The 24,138-nt window shown below is 37.3% G+C and overlaps 1 protein-coding gene and 1 non-coding gene across 2 annotated transcripts in view; both read left to right on the top strand.

The window, feature by feature from the left end:
- KPNA4 (karyopherin subunit alpha 4) overlaps positions 1-23,864 on the top strand; it is a 70,565-nt gene extending 46,701 nt beyond the window's left edge. Inside the window, exons 12-17 of the mRNA NM_002268.5 lie at positions 3,291-3,419; positions 4,690-4,794; positions 9,000-9,071; positions 10,602-10,764; positions 13,819-13,913; positions 16,669-23,864. Of these exons, the coding sequence (NP_002259.1) occupies positions 3,291-3,419; positions 4,690-4,794; positions 9,000-9,071; positions 10,602-10,764; positions 13,819-13,913; positions 16,669-16,767 (663 nt within the window). The 3' untranslated portion in view covers positions 16,768-23,864. The remainder of the gene's footprint in view (positions 1-3,290; positions 3,420-4,689; positions 4,795-8,999; positions 9,072-10,601; positions 10,765-13,818; positions 13,914-16,668) is intronic.
- SCARNA7 (small Cajal body-specific RNA 7) lies at positions 3,635-3,964 on the top strand. The gene has a single exon (NR_003001.1).
- Positions 23,865-24,138: the final 274 nt, after the last annotated feature.

The raw sequence follows: 24,138 nt of genomic DNA, 5'->3' as shown, positions 1-24,138 counted from the left end.
TTGTGTGTGTGTGTGAGAGTCTTGCTCTGTTGCCCAGGCTGGAGTGCAATGGCATGATCTCGGCTCATTACAACCTCTGCCTCCCAGGTTCAAGCAGTTCTCCTGCCTCAGCCTCCCAAGCAGCTGAGATTACAGGTGCCTGCTACCATGCCCAGCTGATTTTTTGTATTTTTAGTAGAGATAGGGTTTCACCGTGTTGGCCAGGCTGGTCTCGAACTCCTGACCTCAGGTGATCCACCCGCCTCGGCCTCCCAAAGTGCTGGGATTGCAGGCGTGAGCCACCGCGCCCGGCCAAGTTGATTTTCAATAAGGAAGCCAAGCCAATTCATTGGGGAAAGAATAACCTTTTCAACAGATGGGCAAGAACGACTGGATATCCACAAGTAAAATAATGAAGTTGGACCCCACTTCATACTACATGCAAAAACTCAGAATAGGCCGGGCGCGGTGGCTCACGCCTGTAATCCCAGCACTTTGGGAGGCCGAGGCGGGCGGATCACGAGGTCAGGAGATCGAGACCATCCTGGCTAACACGGTGAAACCCCGTCTCTACTAAAAATACAAAAAATTAGCCGGGCGTGGTAGCGGGCGCCTGTAGTCCCAGCTACTCAGCTACTCGGGAGGCTGAGGCAGGAGAATGGCGTGAACCCGGGAGGCGGAGCTTGCAGTGAGCCGAGATCGCGCCACTGCACTCCAGCCTGGGTGACAGAGCGAGACTCCGTCTCAAAAAAAAAAAAAAAACTCAGAATAGATCAAACACCTAAATATAAAATCTATAAATTTAAACCTCTTAGAAGAAAAATACAGGCATAAATTTTTATGACCCTAGATTAGACAGTGGTTTCTAAGATGTGACACCACAAGCAACCAAAGAAAAAGAATTGATAAGTCAGGCTTCACAAAACTTACAAACTTGTGTGTGCTTCAAAGAACACCATCAAGAAAGTGAAAAGACAACCCATAGAATAGAAGAGAATAGGTATTAGAAAATTATGTATTGGCAAAGGGATTTACATCTAAAATATTTAATGTATAAAGAACTGTTACTACTCAAAAATAGACAACTCAGTTTTTAACTTGGCAAAATATTTGAGTAAGCAGGCTTCTAAAGAAGATATAACAAATGGTCAGTAAGCACATGAAAAGAAGCTCAACATCATTAGTCATTAAGGAAAGGGAATTAAAGCCACAGTGAGATACTACTTCACACCCACCAGGATGGCTATAGTTAGGAAGACGATAACATACTTTTGGTGAGGGTGTGAGAAACTGGAATTCGTATATACTGCTGGTGAGAATATAAAATGGTACAGCCGCTTTGGAATATAGTTTTGGCAGTGCCTCAAAAAGTTAAACATAAGGTTACAATATGAACTGGCAATTAATTACTCTTAGGTACATACCCAAGAGAAATGAAAATGCATATCCACACAAAAATTTATACACAAGCATTCACAGCAGCGTTATTTGTAATAGCCAAAAAATGAAAACAATTTGAATGTCAGCCAATGAATGGTTAAATAAAATATGATACATTCACACAGTGAAATATTATTTGGTCATGAAAAGGAACAAAGTATTGATGCATGCTGTAACACGAACTTTTAACAACATTATGTGAAATGAAAGAAGCTAGACAAAAAAGGCCAAATACATTTTGATTTTGTTAATATGAAGTGCCCAAGATAGCCAAAATCTTAGAGACAGGCATAGTGTCTTCCAGGGACCTAGGGATGAAGGCAGTGTGGGAGTGATCACTAATGGATACAGGTGTTCTTTTTGGGGTGATCAAAGTGTTCTGGAATTAGATACTAGTAATAGTTACACAACTCTGAATATACTAAGAACTACTGAATTGTACACTTTGAAAGGGTAAATTTTATGTTATATGAATTTTATTTCAATTTTTTAAAAAATTTGGATCATTTGTCATGTAGAAAGGAAAATTAGAGGAGTAAAAAGCTTTACTTAACAGGAAATGACCTCATGCAACCACAGAAAAATAATTGATAATTCAAATTCATACCATAGTGAAATCTCATGTTAGGCAGGTATCTTCTTTCCTTCAGAAAGGCACTATGTTTTTTGTCTTTTTGTTTTTGACAGGGTCTTACTCTGTTGTCCAGGCTGGAGTGCAGTGGTATGATCACAGCTCACTTCAGCCTGGACCTCCCAGGCTCAAGCAATCCTCCCACCTCAGTCTCCCAAGTAGCTGGGACTACAGGCTCGTGCCACCACACCCAGCTAATATTTTGTAGAGACAGGGTTTTGTCATGTTGCCCAGCCTGGTGTCAAACTCCAGGGCTTAAGTGTTCCACCCACCTCAGCCTTCCAAAGTGCTGGAATTACAGGCGTGAGCCACTGCACCTAGCTGTTTTTATTTTTATATTTTCAACACTAAATCTAAAGTTCTGTCTTTTTTTTTTTTATGGCACTATCTAAAATTATCCTTCTTGTTTATTGACTCCTCTCTTACAATAATATAAGCTCTGTAAGAGCTGGAACATGTGTCTATCTTCACATCTCTGTTCCTACATCAGTGCCTGATGCTAAGTGCTCAAAAAGAATAGGTTTCTTGGAGCAGGGTGCAGTGGCTCATGCCTGTAATCCCAGTACTTTGGGAAGCCAAGGCAGGCAGATCACCTAAAGTCAGGGGTTCGAGACCAGCCTGGCCAACGTGGCAAAACCCCATCTCTCCTAAAAAAAAAATTACAGAATTAGCCAGGTATGGTGGCACGCGCCTGTAATCCCAGCTGCTCAGGAGGCTGAGCCAGGAGAATCGCTTGAACCTGGGAGGTAGAGGTTGCAGTGAGCCAGGATCGAGCCACTGCACTTCAGCCTGGGCGACAGAGTGAGACTCCGTCTCAAAAAAGAATAGGTTTGTTGGAAGAAATAGTGAATGAATGCATTTGTCTTTTATAAGGTACCTAACATGCCTTTTAATAAGGAGTGTTTCAGCTGGGCACAATGGCTCATGCCTATAATCCCAGCACTTTTGGAGGCTGAGGCAGGCAGATCCCTTGAGCCTAGGAGTTCGAGACCAGCCTGGGCAACATGGTGAAACTCTGTCTCTACAAAAAATACAAAAATTAGCCGGACAGGGTCGTGCACTGCTATAGTCCCAGATACTCTGGAGGCTGGGGTGGGAGGATCACTTGAGCCTGAGAGGCAGAGGTTACAGTGAGCTGAGATCGCACCACTGCACTCTACCCTGGGCGACAGAGCAAGACCTTGTCTCAAAAAAAAAAAAAAGGATTTCACATAGAATGTCATCTCATTGTGCATTTCAGACTGCTGCACTTAGAGCTGTGGGCAACATTGTTACTGGAACTGATGAGCAAACACAAGTAGTTTTGAACTGTGATGCTCTTTCACACTTCCCAGCACTCCTGACACATCCCAAAGAGAAAATTAATAAAGTAAGTACTATTAAATACTACTTAATAGATAGCACTTAAAATGTTAACAGTTTCTATTTGTAAAATTAGAGTCTTAGAAATGTCTGTAATATTGATTCTTAATACAAACTGTCATTTAGACATCAAGAGAAAATAAAAATTTTACTCTCCATAACAAGCATTAATAATTTTTTCATACATAAAACCAGTTATGAAAAGTGCAATTTTGGCTCTCTTGGAAATGATGAAATAGAGATAATTGGGTGTTGAATGTTGTATGACTGGAAATTTTTAATATGTATATTATGTAATTCTTATAAGTTTAGTGTTTTATAGGTACTTAATAGAGAGTGTGTATGCATGTGTGTGTGCTTGTGGTGGCTATGGAAAGGGGGCACTGACTGGTGATGCTGATATTGGAGTGCATCTGAGGCTGTTGTAGAAATAACATGGGTTGTTGATTACAACATTGCCAATGATTATAACCCAAGAACAGCTCACCTAACTAGCCTGGCACCCTAAAATCTCTAACAGGTTCATTAAAATGGTCCTGTGATCTGATCCAAAAGAGCCTAGTATACATTAGCTAATACTAATATTTTTTAGAGTAAAACTTATTAGTTATCTATGATTATAACGCGTAAGGCCACCATTATTTTGTCAAAAGTAGCACCAACTGTGATGTAAAGGGTAACATAAAAAGATTAAGATAGGCCAATAAAACAATCAAATATCTGGTTCCACTTTTCCTTGAGAGAAATTATGCAGTGAATGACTATTACAAATAAGTATACTAAAACAATGCACTTTGTTTTTTATGTCTCCATTGTTGTGGATAATTGATATTTATCTACTTTGGCTAAGATTCTTCATCAGAATAGAATAGAGAATAAAGCACATTATGTGAGGGAAGGGCACTGAATCTTATTTACAGCTGTTTTAGGATTTGTATTTGTATTATACTCATTATTCATATTTGCTCATTCATTATTTCATATTTGCTCATTCAAATTTGTTCAGCCAAGCTTCTTTTGAGCCACACTGTTTGGGAGCATTGTTTTCAATAATTCTTCCGAAGGGTTAGTTCATTGTGATTTGAATTAGGTCCATTAGCTGTTTGTCCAAAGAAAATATGGAAAGGGGTGTAAAGGAATTGAGATTCCTGAGATTTTTATTATGGAGCTCATTTCGTAGTAAAATCATTGGGACAGTGTAGTGAATGCTTTTTTACTTAGTTCAGATGCAGATTTTATTTTTTAATGAGAAATATTCAAATGCTCTTGTTCTACAGGAAGCAGTGTGGTTCCTCTCCAACATCACTGCAGGAAATCAGCAGCAGGTACAGGCAGTAATTGATGCCAATCTTGTACCAATGATAATACACCTTTTGGATAAGGTAAGAAAATCATGTTATATGTATCATTTATCTGATGTAAGGGGAAGGGGATTTAAATCTGAGACATTATGTGAATTTATACTTTCTGCTTAATTAGAAGCCATACAGTGGCATAAATATAGTAAAGTAATATTAACATTACGACTTTTGAACCTAGCCATTTTTATATACAAGAAACTTTTTGGGGGGTGGGGGGCAAATCCTAGCCCTTTCTGTGTATCATTCTTTTACCAAAATTGCCATTATCCTAGGCCATACTAAACTTTCATATCGTTACTGTTGATAATAAATGCTTACATAGTATTCTAAGCACTTTACATACATTACCTCATTGAATGACATTAAGCCTATAAGATTAGGGATTATTCCCACTTGATAGATGAAGAAACCCTGGTATAGACAAATAAATTGTCCAAAATCAAATAGCAAATAAGTATGCTATTGTATGCCATATCATCTCTCATGCTCATATTAGCATTTGGGAGAAACAGTTTATCGCAATTACAGCATGAGGCTGGGTGCAGTGGCTCACACCTATAATCCCAGCAGTCTGGGAGGCCAAAGCAGGAGGATCACTTGAGCCCAGGAGTTCAAGACCAGCCTGGGCAACATAGGGGGACTCCATCTCTACAAAAACTTTTTTTAAAAAAGAAATTAGTTTGGTGTGGTAGCATGCGCCTGTGGTTCTAGCTACTTGGGAAGCTACGGTGGGAGGATCATTTGAATCCGGGAGGTTGAGGCTGTGGTGAGCCATGGTCATGCCATTGCATTCCAGCCTGAGTGACAGAGCAAGACCCTGTCTCAAAAAAAAAAAAAAAAAAAAAAAACCACAAAGTAGAAGAAACAATCACAGCATGAGGGTTCTGAACACTGATCTGTAATTAAAGAGAAGATAAATCTGTTTCTCTGTGTTTCCTGTAAATCGAGTTCAGTTTTTTAGGCAAGAATATGTCATGCACAACTCTATTTCCTAATGATTCACATGAGGAGACACAGTCTGTCTTACATGTAGTGATATTAAGATTGTTGAGTGATCTGAGGTGTTACAGCCTATTCCAGCTGATGGTTATAAAGTTATCCATTAATCTTTCACCTATGGTTTTTAGGTAGCCATTGATGATCCTTGTTAGGATCCCTTGTTTTACTAGGAGTTGCAAAATGGTGACTTTCTAATTCCGTCATTCTTTGTGTATTGGCCATGATTCTTTAGTAAAGAACTTGTCTTGTTTTTTGTTTTGTTGTTTTTTTTTAGACGGTCTCGCTGTCACCCAGGCTAGAGTGCAGTGACACGATATCAGCTCACTGCAATCTCTACCTCCCGGGTTTAGGCGATTCTTGCGCCTCAGCCTCCCAAGTAGCTGGGACTATAGGCGCACGCCACTACACCCAGCTAATTTTTGTATTTTTAGTAGAGATGCGGTTTCACCATGTTGGCCAGGCTGGTCTCCAACTCCCCACCTCAAGTGATCAGGTGTGAGCCATCCATGCCCGGCCAAGAGCATTTCTTTATCAGCTATTGTTTATTAATACTTTGAAATACAGTTCATTTAGGATAGGCAAGATAAATGTTTGATTCTTTGTCCTTATCAGTCATTTTTTAGAATGACTCGTTCCCTAATAACCTTGAAAGCAGACCAGAGTAGATTTTTTTTTAGTGTCATTTGGAAATTATGAATTTTTAAAATATATTTTGCAAGTTTTAATACCTTTTAGTTGTTACTCTTTTTGATACTCTGTTTGTTCCTGACCAACAGGAACCTCTTAGAATTGGTGACCTGTATCTTTTATGTTATCACTAGTTTTTGAGAGCTACACCTTTTGGATATGACATGATTCCCAGGCCTATCTTACATGTTTTCTGATCTAGAACTGGAATTAACTATTTTTCTATGGTATCTTGATTTTGTTTTGTAGAGAATGGTGTTTAAGGATCATATTTCAGCTATAAAGGTGATCATTGTTATAATGTTGTCATTTTTTCTAGGCCTGAATCAACAAAATAAATGATAGGCATTGTAGAAAGTGAAAGATGATGAGTTCAGGAACATGAGAGTTCATAAAAAATGAATCATGAATGAAAGGGAGCTATTAAATATTATTGGATATTTAAGATAACAGGGTTTTTAATTTTTATTCCTATGATTTTATATTTACATCTCTTTTATGCTGAAAATCTTCCTAAAAACATTAGCATAATTACTTATTTTTCTTACATTTTGGTATGTATAGATCTGTGGATACATGTCAATATACATTATTTTTAAGTACATCATTGATGATATATATCCTAAAGACCATAAAAAACTCCTAATTTTCAGCATGAGACAAAAGAGATGCAAATATATTTATATATATATATATAAAAATAACAAAGCCGTATTGCCCCTGACAACATGACTACTGAATGTACTTTTAAGATTTCTTTGACATTTGTTTGCCCTTAGAATATATTTCATCAGTAATGTACTTAAAAAAATGTCAGTCCCATAGCACTATATAGAGAGCTTCTTTATTCCTTGTTTTTTTTTCTTATTCCTTGTTTTTCTTATTCCTTTCATAGCTACATAGTACTGCATTGTACGGATGCACTATAATGTATGAAGTCAATCTATTAATGATGATATTTGAGATGTCTCCAGTGTTTGTTGTTAAATAGTACTTTAAAGAATAGTGGCCGGGTGCAGTGGCTCACGCCTGTAATCCCAGCACTTTGGGAGGCTGAGGCGGGCAGATCATGAAGTCAGGAGATCGAGACCATCCTGGCTAACACAGCAAAACCCCATCTCTACTAAAAATACAAAAAATTAGCCAGGCATGGTGGTGGGCGCCTGTAGTCCCAGCTACTCGAGAGGCTGAGGTAGGAGAATGGTGTGAACCCAGGAGGCAGAGCTTGCAGTGAGCCAAGATTGCGCCACTGCACTCCAGCCTGGGTGACAGAGCGAGACTCCATCTCAAAAAATAAATAAATAAATAAAAGAATAGCTTGTGGCTGGGCACAGTGGCTCACACGTGTAATCCCAGCACTTGGGAGGCTGAGGCGGGCAGATCACTTGAGGTCAGGAGTTCAAGACCAGCCTGGCCAACATGGGGAAACCGTGTCTCTACCAAAAAAAATACAAAAACTAGCCAGGCGTGGTGGTGCATTCCTGTAGTCCCAGCTACTCAGGAGGCTGAGGTGGGAGAATAACTTGAACCCAGGAGGTGGAGGTTGCAGTGAGCCGAGATTGCGCCACTGCACTCCAGCCTAGGCAACAGCGAGGTCCTCTCAAAAAAAAAAGAATAGCTTGTAAGTTTTTTTTTGATGTTTTTGCCCGATTATATTTGGGATTACTAGATCTACAGATAAACATATATGTAAATTTTGCTATTATAGGGCTAATTCCCCTATAAGAATTATGCCATTTTATACTACCAGCCTCACACACAAATATTTAGATTTTCTTATTCTGATAAATATGAAAGGAGATATGGATATTTTAATTTGCATTTCTTTTATTTATGTGGTTTTTTAATACATCATAAGCATTTTTTCAGGTTGCCACTTGTCTTAATATTTAATAGTTGCTTATTCAGTAGATTTACCATAATTAGACAATTATGCTTATTGAGAATTTTAGTTGTTTTTACTTTTTGGCTATTATGGTGCTGTGATAACCATATATAGAAAGATATTATTACTCTGCTTTATGTTATTTTCTTGGTAAATTCTCAAAAATGAGATTATGAAGTTTATGTATATGAATTTTTTAATGACTTTTAAATATTTCTTCGCTTCATATTTGAAAAGGCAATGTATAACATCTTTATCATAGTTTCATTAATGGTGGGTATCATTTTTGTGTGTAAAAGCTTTGTGTGTAAAAGAATATGTTCGTTTACGTGACTTTGTAGTGAAATTGTAGATTTTTAAATTTTTTCTTTACTATTTTTATTTCATTTTATCATCAACTTCATTTAATCTGATAATATTAGATAATAATATCAACTCAGTTTGTTTCCAGGAGATTTCACAGAAAGGTGTCTCCATGTATTTAGGGTAGATTGGGAATAGTTCAAAGACCTGTCTTAATAAGAAAAAATGATATATACAGAAAGACTAAAAGGAGACCTTGGGAAATAAGCAGTTGAAAAATCATCACAGCAAACATTTTTTCCAGTTTACTCTATGTGGCAATTTTTATAGCCTTTGTTTTGCCTTTTTACAGGGGGATTTTGGCACTCAAAAAGAAGCTGCTTGGGCCATAAGTAACTTAACAATTAGTGGAAGGAAAGATCAAGTAAGTTGAGCTTTTTAAAATTTATTTCTCAAAACTGGTAAAATAAAAGTACAGGTAATATTGATTTAGATTTGAGTAAGTTATAATTTAAAATAATAGCAACACCCTGGGAGGCCAAGGCTGGAGGATCACCCGAGGCCAGGGTTTTGTGACTGGCCTGGGCAACACAGTGAGACCACATCTCTATTAAAAAAATAAAATAAGAGCAAGATAACAGGTACTAACTTTTATATAACAGGTATATAACTTTCTTTGTCACATAGAAGTATCACCTTGACTTCCTTTCGTCATACTTCATAGAAGTGTTCTTTTTCCCAATTTATTGGCCTACAAGAATTTTTTAATCCATGGTAAAATTGAGGCCCCTATAGTCAGGAGTTTTTTGTTTTGTTTTGTTTTTTTAACAGTATTAGGAATGAACAGACTTCTTAAGTTAATATGGAAGAAACTGCATCACACATTCTCCTAACAAATGAACAACAACAACAAAAAGTAAAAAGACAGCAACAATAACAAATTCATCAGCAGCAAACCAAACAAGGAATTAAAAGCTCAACCAGATGGCTAGGACTTAGGAACTAGGGTGAGGAATGTAAGATGCCTAGGAAAGAGGCACCCACTCTCAGGTCGTGCGGGTGACAAAGCTTAACATTGTGCCAACTGGCAAAGGAAAAACAGTTTTAAAGAGGTTAGATCTGTTTCACAGAGTAGGTAAAAAGAACAAATTTAGAGCTGAATAGCAATAAATTGATAACTGTAACAAAAAGGCTGCAGACTGGTGGTTTTCAGTGAATTCACATAAATACAGAGCAGAACAGGAATATTAATATAATGCATGGAAATTATAACTAATGAAATACTGAAATCATTGGAAAATATTGTGAAATCAATAGAATAGTGAATTGAGAGGTAGCCAGGCACATGTGAGCCACTGGATGCTGTCACATTGAGCCATTGTAGTTTTTTGAAACTAGTATCCAGGCGGGATGCAGTGGCTCATGCATGTAATCCTAGCATTTTGTGGGGCCAAGGCAGGAGGATCTCTTGGGTTCAGGAGTTCAAGACCAGCCTGGGCAACATAGTGAGACCCCCGTCTCTATATATTAAATAAATAAATAAATCCTGCGCAACATAGTGAGACCCCATCTCTCTATATTTAATTAATTAATTAATTAAATTAAAAATAGCATACAGCCTCCATTAACAGCCTCCTTAACTGATTTCATAATTTCTTACTCTTAAAGGGAAAAATCTTTGAAGGAAGTATTTCTTATGGCAAAGAAATGTTTAATATGAAGTTGAGTGATTCCTTTATTTTAACTTTACGTTGTTTTTTTCTAAGTTCGGGAAAAAGGAAACTAAATTTAAAAGAAAAGGAGGTTAGATTAATAATGTGGGCACACTTAACATGAGAGAGATGAGGTCATATTTCTATACTCGAAATTTCAAAATCAGAATTATTCCAGTGAGATAACATGGCACACAAAGTTTACCTATATTGCATTATTTTATGTTGTTTTTATTCTTCAGGTGGCTTACCTTATCCAACAAAATGTTATCCCACCTTTTTGCAACTTGCTGACTGTAAAAGATGCACAAGTTGTGCAAGTAGTACTCGATGGACTAAGTAATATATTAAAAATGGCTGAAGATGAGGCAGAAACCATAGGCAATCTTATAGAAGAATGTGGAGGTAAGTTTATTATAAGCTCTTATTCCACATCTTAATGTTCTCTTTGTAACTACCTTTATTTGCCGACTAATATAGCACATCTATATTTTTCTGTCTTAGATATTCAAGTAACAGAATAAAGTAAATATTGTATTCTATATGTGCAGTCCTGCTCAGCCTCTTGCATATGCTTAGGTAACTGAATTGCTGCCATATATTGAACAGGCACTGTGATAAGTTACTGGGAAGACAGTGGTAAACAAGACACAGTCCTTGCCCTCAAGGCATGTAGTCTAGTCTTGATAAATATGAACTGATTTAATGTGCTAATTACCCTAATAGAAATGTACAACAAAATGGGATGCCTAATCCATTCTGGAAGAAGCAGGAAGTGCACCTGAGCTGGATTTTGAGAGATGAATAAGGATTAATAAGGTAAAAAGGGATGAAAGGTGTTCCAGGCAGAGATAACACCATGAGCAAAGTCTGAGGTCAGAAATAGCATTCAGCAAATTATAAGTAGTTCAGTGTTGCTGAATCACACAGTATGGGGTAGAAACTATGAAGAGACAAAGCTGGAGAAGTAACCAGCCTCCTATGAAGGCTTTTTTTTTTTTTTTTTTTTTTTGAGACAGTGTCTTGCTCTGTTGCCCAGGCTGGAGTGCAATGGCACAATCTCGGCTCACTGCAACCTCTGTCTCCCAGGTTCAAGCGATTCTTCTGCCTCAGCCTCCTGAGTAGCTGGGATTACAGGCGCCTGCCACCACGCCCAGCTAATTTTTTGTATATTTAGTAGAGACGGGGTTTCATCATGTTGGTCAGGCTGCTGTTGAACTCCTGACCTCAGGTGATCCACTCCCCTTGGCCTCCCAGAGTGTTGAGATTACAGGTGTGAGCAACTGCGCCCGACCTCCTGTGAATCTTAACAAGCTTTATGGCACAGTAGATGTTTTATTCTTTAGGGCAATAGTTTCGAAACATGGCCATGTACCAGAGCCTCCTGGAATGTAAACAATACATATTAGCTTTCAAGTCTTAGAGTTAATATATAGACAGAACATGAAAATTTCAAATGTGGCTGTGTAACACAGTGTGTTATCAATCTGGATAAGCATAAATATAAAGGTATTTCTGACAGAAGTTGAAAAGTGAATGAAAAGAGAGGTAACTGCAAAAGTAGGAGAACCCATAACTTCAACTAAATGGGAATGGTGAGCGGCTTCAAAATTAATGTAGTAAGAAATAGATATATTTAAAGTTACTAAAGTGACTCATAGAGCAACAACAATAAAAAAATCTATAACTGTCGAGTTAGGAACAAGAGATGGGGAATAGTGTTACAGAACTAATTAGGGATTAAGTAACAAAAAATAACAATAGGCATACTTAATTATTTTTACTACTTGATTTTTTTAACTTGTAAACATTTTAATTACTAAAATATCTTTATACATTCAAGTAAAAATGTAAGTTCTTGAACATTGCCTACCTCACTGGAGGTAAGACCCAGGAATCCCCAGTGGATTGTGCCATAGGAGTGGCAGGCCATTGGTGATTCATCTAGGGGATGGGGTGCATTCAGGTGGAACATGGATATCTGGGGAATGAAGCCTTTGGAGAAAGGAGGCAGGAAGAGACCAGTTAAGAAAGTATTTATGGCCGGGCACAGTGGCTCACACCTGTAATCCCAGCACTTTGGGAGGCCCGAGGCGGGCAGATCACCTGAGGCCAGAAGTTCAAGACCAGCCTGGTCAGCATGATGAAACCCCGTCTCTACTAAAAATATGAAACATTAGCTGGGTGTGGTAGCGCACACCTGTAATCCTAGCTGCTTGGGAGGCTGAGGCACGAGAATCATTTGAACCCAGGAGGCAGAGGCTGCAGTGAGCCAAGATCACGCCACTGCACTCCAGCCTGGGCAACAGAGTGAGACTCTGTCTCAAAAAAAATAAAATAAAATAAAGTATATAGTGGCCAAGCCACAATAAATGAAGGCAGTAATAATAGAGACAAAGGGGAGATGAGGAGATTTAAAGTCCAGTGGATGGACTTTCAAGTTTTTGAGGTTTGATTGTGGGATATTGAGGGAAAGGGGAACTTGGGCTTTCTCTTAAATTTCAAGCTATTGTTGATTATCACCAAATAAGAATACAACTGTAGGATGAACCGTTTAAATGAGGAAGGCAAATAACAAATTGTGTTTTGGACAGTTTGAGTTTTAGGTAGCTATGAAATTTCCTGGTAGAATTACACAAGCATTTTAGTTTTATGCATGTGAAGCTCAGAAAAGAAATGAAGCTATAGATTTGCAAGTCCTCAGCCTATGTGTAGTAGCCAGATTTTTTAATGGGAAGATCACCAGAATGAGTGTGTAGGTGAGAAGTGAGCCTAAGATAACTTTCTCCATTTAAGAAATGGATAGAGGAAGTACACTCATGAAGGGGCAATTTCACTTTTTTCAAAGACTTTAAAATTATTTTTCCTCTAAAGTAAAACAGGATCCAATTTGTGTATCAACAAGTTAAGTATATACTTTTTAATGTTTCTGCCTATAATTTAAACTCATTAATGTTTACAGGGAAAATTCTCTTTTCCCCTGAAATACTGTGTTAGATCTTCATCATTTTCCAGTAAACTTAACAGGTATCTTAAGCATCATATTTATTAATCACCAGTATTTTAAATTTATTTTCATACGTGCTCACTAGAAAAACTTGGCAGGTGCTGGAAAGTAGGAAGATTCCGCTTTTTACTTAAATGGAATTTTACATGTTATTGCTGGTTATAAACATTGGTTATGTATTCTGATGAATAGGCAGATGTCTCATTACTTATTTATACACTTATTTGTACATTTACAAGCAGTTAGACACTCAGGTTGTTGATTTTAAGATAAATATGCTGTATCTTTGTGCATAAAATTTTTTTATATTTAAGATTCACCTTTAAATTCCCAAAAATTATAATTCAAAAAATTTGCGATTCAGAAATTGGATTATGTGTTCCAAAGATTATTCTAACTTGTCACTGCTCTTTAAATATTACTATTGTTTCACATTGCAAAATTTCTTGCAGGGCTGGAGAAAATTGAACAACTTCAAAATCATGAAAATGAAGACATCTACAAATTGGCCTATGAGATCATTGATCAGTTCTTCTCTTCAGATGATGTATTTAATAATTTTGTAGTTTTCTTAATTTTATATATAAACATAGATCTGGATAAAGTAATATATATAGTAAGCTGGGGGACATACATGTGTATTTGTTTGGAATGGAATTAAAATAGATGTATGACAGTAATGTCACCTGCTTTGAAAACAAATATTTCAATATTTTAAGATCCCTTCAGGGCATATTAGCTCTAATGGCAAGAAATAAGGACTTTTTTGACCAAACGAGATGAGTCAGACTTTATTTTCACTTGGTGTCTTTATAGTTCTCATTTTTTAAAATTGTTAATAGCATACCATATTTATAAACAAAACAGTGATACTAGTATATCCTGTAATAAGTTCTTTATGACAGTAGTTAATCCACACTTGATGGGTTGTCACTGTTTTTATTTCATGGCCAAAAACAAATACGAAAATAAATAAGATGGAAATAAAAAGGTAAGGCACTATATAATGTAAGGTATAGTATACAAAAATATCTTCAGATTGTTAGTAATAGTAGTGGAAATTAAAGTATTAACTTATTTTTAGTATTTCCTCTTTGGAAAAGTAAATCTAAAATTAAACCAATTGCTCCTTAGAAAATTTTATAGTGGTTCAGTGCAGCCACCAGAGGATTTCTTTAATGATTTCTCAGCTTTTCAAAGAATAAGTCTTTTACTGCATGCCTTTCCATATTATCAAAAAGAATAGAATGTTATTAAACATTTTGTTAAGTATGTATAGTTTGAACATTAACTTGACAAGGACAATATTAGAAAAGAAAATTATAGACTATTTACTTACAGTTGTTTAAGCTTAGTCCTATTTAGAATATAATGCCAGTTAAATAAACCAGAAATAAAATTAAGAAAAGTTTTTTTTCTTTCTTTCTTTTTTTAAAGACGGGGCCCAGGCTGGAGTGCATTGGCGCAGTCACAGCTCACTGCAACCTCCCCCTCCCTGGCTCAGGTGATCCTCCCACCTCAGCCTCCCAAATAGCTGGGATTACAAGTGCTTGCCACTATGCCCGGATAACTTTTTAAGTCTTTTGTAGAGACAAGGTCTCCCTATGTTGCCCTGGCTGAGCTTGAACTCCTGGACTCAAACAATTCTCCCATCTTGGCCTCCCAAAGTGCTGGGATTACAGGCATGAGCCACCACGCCCAGCCTGGCATATTCTTTTAAGAGTAACTTTGATCGTATGTCTTGAAGTTGGATTTTTGAAAATCATAATTTGCAATTTGGTGACTAATTGTAATAGCCTCATAATTTCTAATACCTCAACATGTAGTTTTCGTTCTTGACTTAGATTGTGAAAAGAATAATTCAGATGATATACATAGTTATAGGAAGTACACTACAGGTTTGTAATATTGTGGAATTTCCAAAAGGAGCCTTTAGATGCAAAGCATATAGAATAATGTATATAATAATAATAATAACCATTATTAGCAGAACTATTATAGGTGGAGTATCCCTTACCTGAAATGCATGGGACCAGAACAGTTTTGGATTTTGGATTTTTTTGAATTTTAGAATATTTGAATTATTTCTACCACTTGAGCATCTGAAATTCAAAATGTTCCAATGAGCATTTCCTTTGAGCATCATATTGGTGCCCAGAAAGTTTCAGATTTTGGAATATTTTTTGTTTTGTACTTTCAGATTAGGGATACTCAATCTGTATTTTACTATTTTAAGCCCAAATACCATTTGTCTCTAATTGCTATTGAAAGATATACCAAAGATTCACTTTCCAAAAGTGGTGGCATTAGATTTTTTTTTAATGTGATTGTCTTTATGTACTTGCCCGGGGTTTTTTTGTTTTGTGATTTGTTTTGTTTTGTTTTGTTTTGTTTGAGACAGAGTTTTGCTCTGTCACCCAGGCTGGAGTACAGTGGCACAATCTTGGCTCACTGCAACCTCTGCCTCCCAGGTTCAAGGAATTCTCCACCCTCAACCTCCCAAGTAGCTGGGATTATAGGCGCATGCCACCATGCCCAGCTAATTTTTGTATTTTTAGTAGAGATGGGGTTTCGCCACGTTGGCCAGGCTGGTCTTGAACTCCTGACCTCAGGTGATCCACCCGTCTCAGCCTCCCAAAGTGCTGGGATTACAGGCATGAGCCACCGCGCCTAGCTGTACTTGCCCAGGTTTAAGGGAAATTGTAATGAGACCAAATTTTGCATCCTCTCTTTGAGACTTAGGGCCATCATTACTGTTCCTTCATTCTTTTGGAAAATGCCCGTCTTACATATTCTCTTTTTTCTCATTTTGGCATCCCTTAAGAAAAAGTCTTGGGTAGGCACTGTGGCTCACACCTGTAATCTCAATACTTTGGGAGGTCAAGACAGGCAGATTGCTTGAGCTTAGGAGTTTGAGACCAGCCTGGGCAGTATGGTGAAACTCCGTCTCTACAAAAAATACAAAAATTAGCCAGGCGTGGTGGTGCACACCTGTAGTCCCAGCTACTCGGGAGGCTGAGGTGGGAGGATCACTTGAGCCCAAGAGGTTGAGGCTGCAATGAGCTATGTTTGTGCTACTCATCTCCAGCCTGGGTGACAGAGTGAGACCCCATCTCAAAAAAGAAAGAAAGAAAAAAAAAACCTTCTATAAACTGTTTCAATTTTCTAAAGGATGGTAAGACAGTGTTGGCATTCATCATCTCTCCAGACCTTTTTTTAAGGGTAATGGGATTAGTACTATAATACTGTTTATATATATTTTAAAACTAATTATCACATTCTTTTTCTTTTTTTTCACCTAGATTGATGAAGACCCTAGCCTTGTTCCAGAGGCAATTCAAGGCGGAACATTTGGTTTCAATTCATCTGCCAATGTACCAACAGAAGGGTTCCAGTTTTAGAAAGATGTTGTGGAAGTTAGGTACAATGCAGCACTGAGATATATATATATATATGTGTGTGTGTATATATATATATATATACATATATATAAAAAGGTTTGATCCATCAAGCTTGGCTCATGGGATCTGCTGCTGCATTAAATCGGGAAAGAAAATGTGAAGATTTCATTTGGAATCACAGAAAATGCCCAAATGAGGTCAAGATGGCGAGTGGGTGCGAGTGAGAATGAGTGGCAAAATGTAATGAAAACTTTACATGAATGCTTATTTAGGTTGTTCAAAGTAAAAAGGGCTACAGGTCACAGATCGTCAGTGCCTGAGAAAGAACATTGACTTACTCTATATCAATTGAGGGGAAAGTGCAGTACCGTCATCTTCAAGCCTTGTAAGCATAAAAGAGAATAGGCTGCCCATATAAGTCAAAGGAAAATGAGCCCAGGCCTTGCTATGAAGCAGTGTGTGAATGGACAATGTTGAATGAATGTCTGGCTCAGTGATGGAGAGCCAGGTTCATCTTTGAAATCTAGGGCTCTTCACTCATGAAGCAGACTCCTAGTCCTGGAGTGACTGTGTACGAGAGCGTGGTTGTGGTGCTGTATGTGAACGCATGCAAGCTTGATTCACCTTCAGGGGGCTGATAACCTAGTAAATCATCAAAATGAGATCATAAGTGTTAATGTACACTGGACATGAAAACAAAGACTGGTTTAGCAGCAGACATTGGTTTACTCTGCAGCCTGTGTTTTCTGTTTCCCCCTTTCCCACCTCCTTCCCCCCACCCAATCCTTTTTTTTTTCTTTTTTGCTTTTCTTTTCTTTTTTTTTAGTTTTTATTTACTTTACCTAGTATGCCTTTTTTTAGTTGCTTCTCAAGTCAGAAAACTTTTCAGGAAGGTTTCCCTGTGCATTTGCACCAGATGAATGTTTGATGCTATGAAAAGCTTTCCATATCATCAAAACTAATTTGTGTAGATTTTTGCATGAAAAAAATCATAAATTTCCCTCAAAATAGACTGTGTTGCAGTACACAAGTTGCCATAATAGTATAAAACAGTAAAATGTGCTTAAAAGGCCATCCTTTTCATTTTCAGAGATAACATAAAGATCTTTGCATGAGGTAAATCTACAGCATAGTTCATTTTTAGATTTTGTTGAGTCCTGTAAAGAAGAAGAAGAAAAAAGTTTCAGTTGTGGTAGAATACCGTGCTGTGTTTAAATGTTACTTGTTTTCAAACTTTGTTTTCTATGAAAATGATATGGAAACTTCTAAAATGGAATTTGGTGCATATGTACTGCTGAATAAAGACCGATGAAGAGGTTTGAGTAGATGTACAAATCAAGTAATGGTTTGAACACCTTTAATAATATGCCTAATCTGTTCAATTGTTTTAGAATCTTTTTATCTTAGATGTAGGCAGCCATGAACAATCTATTTTGAGCCACTTTAGGGAGAAAACTTTGTATTTTTAAAACTTGCATAAAAGTTATGCAAGTGGTTTTTATAAATTGGAATAATACCTCAGTTTTGAGGTTATGCACACTAAATTAAATGTGACATAAATTAATTTGTACAAAAAGAACTCTTTATAAGGTGGCTCATTGTAGGAAATCCTGTGCCTTCCCCTTTGAGCACAAGTGTTGCATGAACAACAGTTTGCTATAAGAAACATACCAGATTAGCCACCATTAGCATCTATATCTACTTTGTGTTTAAAAATCAACTGGTAATTCTGAAACACTGTAGAATGGATAAAAATTATTTTGTGATCATAACTCTTTGTTGAACTAGAGTATTTTTGCAGCATTCCTTGTCATCAGAAACATGGTTAAAGTTTAAAACTAGAAGCAGCAGAAAACTAGCTTGTAAAATTTATCCAAGTAGAGTGCAGGCTAGGCTGTCTTGGGGAAATAAACATTAAAACTTAAAGCAATGTTTTACATGGGGTGTGTGTGTGTGGTGTGTGGATTTTTTTTTTTTTATAAAGTTAGAGTATAATTCAATGGCTTACATTAGCTTCCTGTCTTTTTACCTAGAACCAGCATAATAAGAAATTTCTTTGGTTCTGTCATTTCAGTATGGACATATTAATATTTTAGCCCACTGAGTTTGTCCAGTTGACACCATCAGTGCTTCAGTTTTCTCTCTATCCAAAGCAAGGTTTTAACTTTCCTTCATTCTCCAGTAAAACAGACCGAGACAACTTGAACTATATTTTGAGTATTGCTATATCTTCAACATATAGCTCCAAATGATGGATTGTATACAAAGCATAGTACAGAAGGTTTCAGTAATTGGAAGGTGAACACAGCAATGCTTTACATAATTTGTGTTTTTTAGTAAAAAATATTGGATTCAAAGTAAGCCAATGAGCTTGTATACAAATTTTATATACAAATTATTGTATAGAACAGTGATATGGAAAATAGGTAAGGGTGATATTAATATCTCTGGGTATAAGGACTACCTTATCGTTTAAATATTTTATTTCCATCTATAGCCTAATATAGAACATTGATTTTCTAGTAGAAATTCTGGGAAGGGCTTTTCTGTCTCTGAAATTGATTCAGTACAGTTGACAGTTCATCACGGTTACCTGGTTAAACACTTTTTTTTTTTTTTTAATTCTCCAGTGATCTAGGAAATTGTTTCATTTTTAACACAGGCTTATTTCTGATGGGGATGGGGGCATAGAATAATATGCCTAATAAGCTAAACGTTCTTAACGTTTCATGTCTTAAACTGTCTTTTTGAACATTGAGACCACCTCAAGTGCTGTAAAAATAAGAATGTTATATTAGGGGTGTGTGAGACGCCCTAGTCTAAAATCTATCTTTAAATATATTTCCTTTGTAATTTTCAAAGACTTCAGTAATTGTGTGTTATGGTGGAAATAATACTTTCCATTGGTCCACATTGCTCTGGACCAAACCTGGAGCATTTCTATAATTAGAGCTATCTATGAATCATTAAAAATGGATCTAGAATAATTTTGGGGAGAGGGAGTGTATCATTTAGTTTAGGCTTACCTCAGCAGCACTTCATAGGGTGAGGAGTTGTTTGTTTCTTTAAAGGTATAACTGCATTGTAAAATGACTGGGTTTATTGTAACAGTAATTTATGGGGGCACCCTTTTTGGATTCTCCATTGCCTCAGTTTCCTCAAGGAAAAAGTTACAGAGATTAAGCTAAATTTTGAATTTAGAGAATAACTGCTGTGTAATTTTGGTATAATTACCATAAATTTAGTGTCTTAAAACACAACATACATTATTTCACAATTTCTGTAGGTCAAGAGTGTAGTTAGGTTTTCTGCTCAGGGTCTCACAAGGCTGCAATAAAGGTGTCAGCCAGAGCTGCAGTCTTATCTGAAGCTAGGGGGTCCTCTTTTATGCACATATGGCAAAATCCATTGCCTAGCAACTGAAGAAATCATGGGAACTTCTTCAAGGCCAGCAAGAGAATCTCTGATCTCAGGGAAGGCCTTAAGCGCTTTTTTAAAGGTCTCACCTGATTAGATCAGGCCACCTACCCACCAGGGTGATCTCCCTTTTGATTAACCCAAAGCCAAACTGATGAGGTACCTTCATTACCCCTGCAAAATCCCTTCACCTTTGCCCTGCATTGTAGTCCAATCACAGGGGTGATACGCATCATATTCAAAGATCCTGTTCACAGTCAAGGGAGGGGGTTATATGGAGTATGTATACCAGGGAATCTTGGGAGCCATCTTAAGAGTTCTTCCTATGACAAGGACTCAACTATTTAGAACTGGAACAATTTACAAGTGATAGCCTTATATAGTTATCATAGCAAGCTTATTTGGGGATCAAGGTTGCCTCTGAGAACCTAATGAAAACTGGACCAGCTTCCCCAAAAAGTGTATATACATGGTAGTTTTTCATACAGTTTTAGGGGATTCATAAGAGTCCATGAATTACAGTCTGTCCCAACCCTTCCCTTTAGATGATGAGTTGTTGAGGTGACTTGCCCAAGGTCACACAGCTACTAAGGGCCAAATAAAGCCCACATCTCAACTCCCATACTGCCCAGGGCTTCTAATTACTATTCTAAAGGTAATCTAAATTCATTTAAATTTGTGAACCAATGCAAAAAAATGTGAATGTAGCTTTTTGGATATTTTTTTTGTTTACTAAGGAATGGGTAACATTGTTATAGAAGCTTGCCTAAGAGTTTTGAAATTAGTTGACCTTTTTGAGTTTCCAAAATTGAATCTTCCATTGTAGCTATTAAAGTGAACTATAAATAGGCCAACTTTAATTGTTAACTCCTCGGGTTTGGTGGATTATCTACCATTTATATATAAAATTTCAGTTAGAATCCACCATTGGCGTTTTGAAGGCCAAGATAGCTGAGTATCTTATCCTTTTTGTAACTTCTTGATTATTTTACTTATTGGCAAAATTCATTAACTGTCAGCCAATAATTTAATATTATGGGAGGAAAAAATTTTGCCCAGATATCTGAGGCAATACTCCCAAACACTAACAAACTGATGCCTAACAAACTTGACATTTTGAACACTTAAAGTTTTCCCTAAACTTTTTAATAAGCACATTAATAAAGTATGCTTTTAAATATATATGTACAATAATTTTTAAAAGTTGCTGCAAGATGCCTTCAAATCAATATGCACGTTGGTGGCATTAGTGCAGTCTTCTATTTTTATTTTTTTGAGACACAGTCTCGCTCTGTGGCCCAGGCTGGAGTGTAGTGGCGCAATCTCGGCTCACTGCAACCTCTGCCTCAAGGGTTCAAGCAATTCTGCCTCAGCCTCCTGAGTAGCTGGGATTACAGGAGTACGCTACCACGCCTGGCTAATTTTTGTATTTTTAGTAGAAATGGGGTTTCACCGTATTGGCCAGGCTGGTATTGGAATCCTGACCGCAAATGATCTGCCCACCTCGGCTTCCCAAAGTGCTGGGATTACAGGCGTGAGCCACTGCGCCCAACCAGCCTTAATTCTTAATAAAGGAAGTTGAAAAATAATGAACATTGGTAAAACTATTCTAGTGTGATCAGAAGCAAATTTGGACTGTAGTGTCAAATTGATAAAAAACTAAGCACACCAATCATGTATAAGAAAAGTAGATTTAACATTTTTTTCCCTAAACACTTAACCCAGAAGTTAACAATAATCTTGAAAATTCCTTTTAAATCCAGGCCCTTTAGGTGATGGCAGTTTGACTCAGGATGTCCAAGTCCAGTGTATTTTCAATAAAATTGACTTGACAGCTACTGCTCTGGGTGTAAGAGCAGTTGACTGTGAGGAAAAGTAAATGGTTCTACAGATTCTTTATGATCTACCTCCCACCAGAGGACTGCAGTACTCCCTTGTTATTTATATTTTCTGCCCCAATTTTTGCCTTCTCCACAAATTTTATACCTTTTGTAGCTGCCTACTCCAGATTACTTCACCTTTCCAGACTATCAGTTCTTCCACTTTTATTCTTCATAAAGAAAATTCCAATAACCTGTTTCACTTAGGTTTTTCTATTACTCTTCAAGCATGAATCCTAATTTCCCTGACTATATCTTACCTCTGATCTCCATAACTGATGGATTCCTATCCTAGACTATGTTACTCTAATATTACCCAAGATTTTCTCCAGCCTGTTTTTACTCTTACTTTGAAACAGCTGTTTAAAATGACTCGTAATCTGCTTAAATCTACATGCTTTTTGTGGTTCTCAATCCAGTTACCTACCTTCCAGATAATTCCCTCACTGTCCTGTCCTCTCCATTCCTCTGATGTTTAAGCCCTGTGAGCCACCTTTCCCCCATCCTTTGTGCATAGTTACCATTTTACTCTTTCTTGTTGCCCAGGCAGGAATGCAGTGGTGCCATCTTGGCTCACTGCAACCTCCACCTCCTAGGTTCAAGCGATTCTCCTGCCTCAGCCTCCTGAGTAGCTGGGACCACAAGCGTGCACCACCACGCCCGGCTAATTTTTGTATTTTTAGTAGAGATGGGGTTTCACCACGTTGGCCAGGCTGGTCTCGAACTCCTGACCTCAGATGATCCACCCTCCTTGGCCTCCCAAAGTGCTGGGATTGCAGGCGTGAGCCACCGCCTGGCCACCATTTTACTCTTTTTAGGTACAGTAATCTAATATCCAAAGTCTTGGACTCAGCTAAAGAGGGTATTTACCTTAAAAAAAAAAAAAAAAAGACTCCATCTTTTGATTCATAATTGTGGTGGGGGCGGGGAATCAAGACAACCTTAGTCACTTTGGTATTACCATAATTCTTGTCTTTTCAGGGTTGTCCTGTTCAGCTGCATAAAACATCATGTATTCTAGGTATTTCCTACCTTCACTTACATTTTTACTTGCCGATGTGCTGCCTTCATAAATGGGTATATTCCGCCACACATCTAGTAAGCCCCCAATGCAGTACACAATGTGTATCACTGATAAAACTCGCACTTCTGCCATGTCAGTATTATATTCAGTTGAGTGGTCTTTAGCATAGTGGCAGTCCTAGTCATCCTAACCTTTTAGTTAAGGTAAAATTACATATGTTTATAGAACTCATATAGACAAGCTAGTTTTTAAAATCTTCCTTTTAACCAGTTTAGGATGATCTAGGATAGCTAAGTTACCTACATGGTGACTGTTCGGTCTAATTCAGAAACAGAAGTACTAAAAGAATACTAAAAAGTTTTTACCCATTATCTCTATCCCTGTTTTCTTTTTGCAATTCTCAGCTGCAGGGAGCAAGAAAATACACAGCAGATAGGAAATGTTTGTTTGCATCCTGGCTTTCTCAACCGCACTTTACGTCCTTGAATATTCTAGATATTTACTCCTTCAAGAAGTCAGGAGTATATCCAGGCCTACCTATCATCCTTGCCATCCCCATTAACCCTCATTTTTCAGTATGTGTTTTACATTTATGGTTATTTTTCAGTCTATAGTATCTGTTCACTCATTGCTCTATCACATCTGAGTTTCTCCGTCTTTCTTTCCACTAGATTGTAAGCTCCTTAAGGGCAAGGTCGGCATATAAGCAAAGTTCTGTAAACACCGTGAAGGTACCATGAGTTCTATGGGTACTCAATAAATGCTTGTGATAATGATGCAATTTCTCAGATGAACTGATTGTAGTGACTACCTCTAAAAGCCTTCAATCTACAGTTTTTAAATTTGTCTCATTGCATCTGAGTTTTAGAAAGCCTTCGATAGAAAGGGAAGATACTTCATAGCTTGCCAGATGAATGCCCATTTCCTTATTTCCTTTTCCTCACTTTTGATATTTTGCCCAGTGTCTGGTCTGGATATCTGACATCCATAAGGGTATTGAAATGGATCCTTGTGTGGTTTTCAGATACCAGTTATATATATTATGAAGCA

Source organism: Homo sapiens, chromosome 3, assembly GCF_000001405.40.
Source record: "Homo sapiens chromosome 3, GRCh38.p14 Primary Assembly".
NCBI classification, from domain to species: Eukaryota; Metazoa; Chordata; class Mammalia; order Primates; family Hominidae; genus Homo; species Homo sapiens.
The sequence above is the reverse complement of the archived record's forward strand: the minus strand, read 5'-3'. Positions and strand labels throughout refer to the sequence as shown.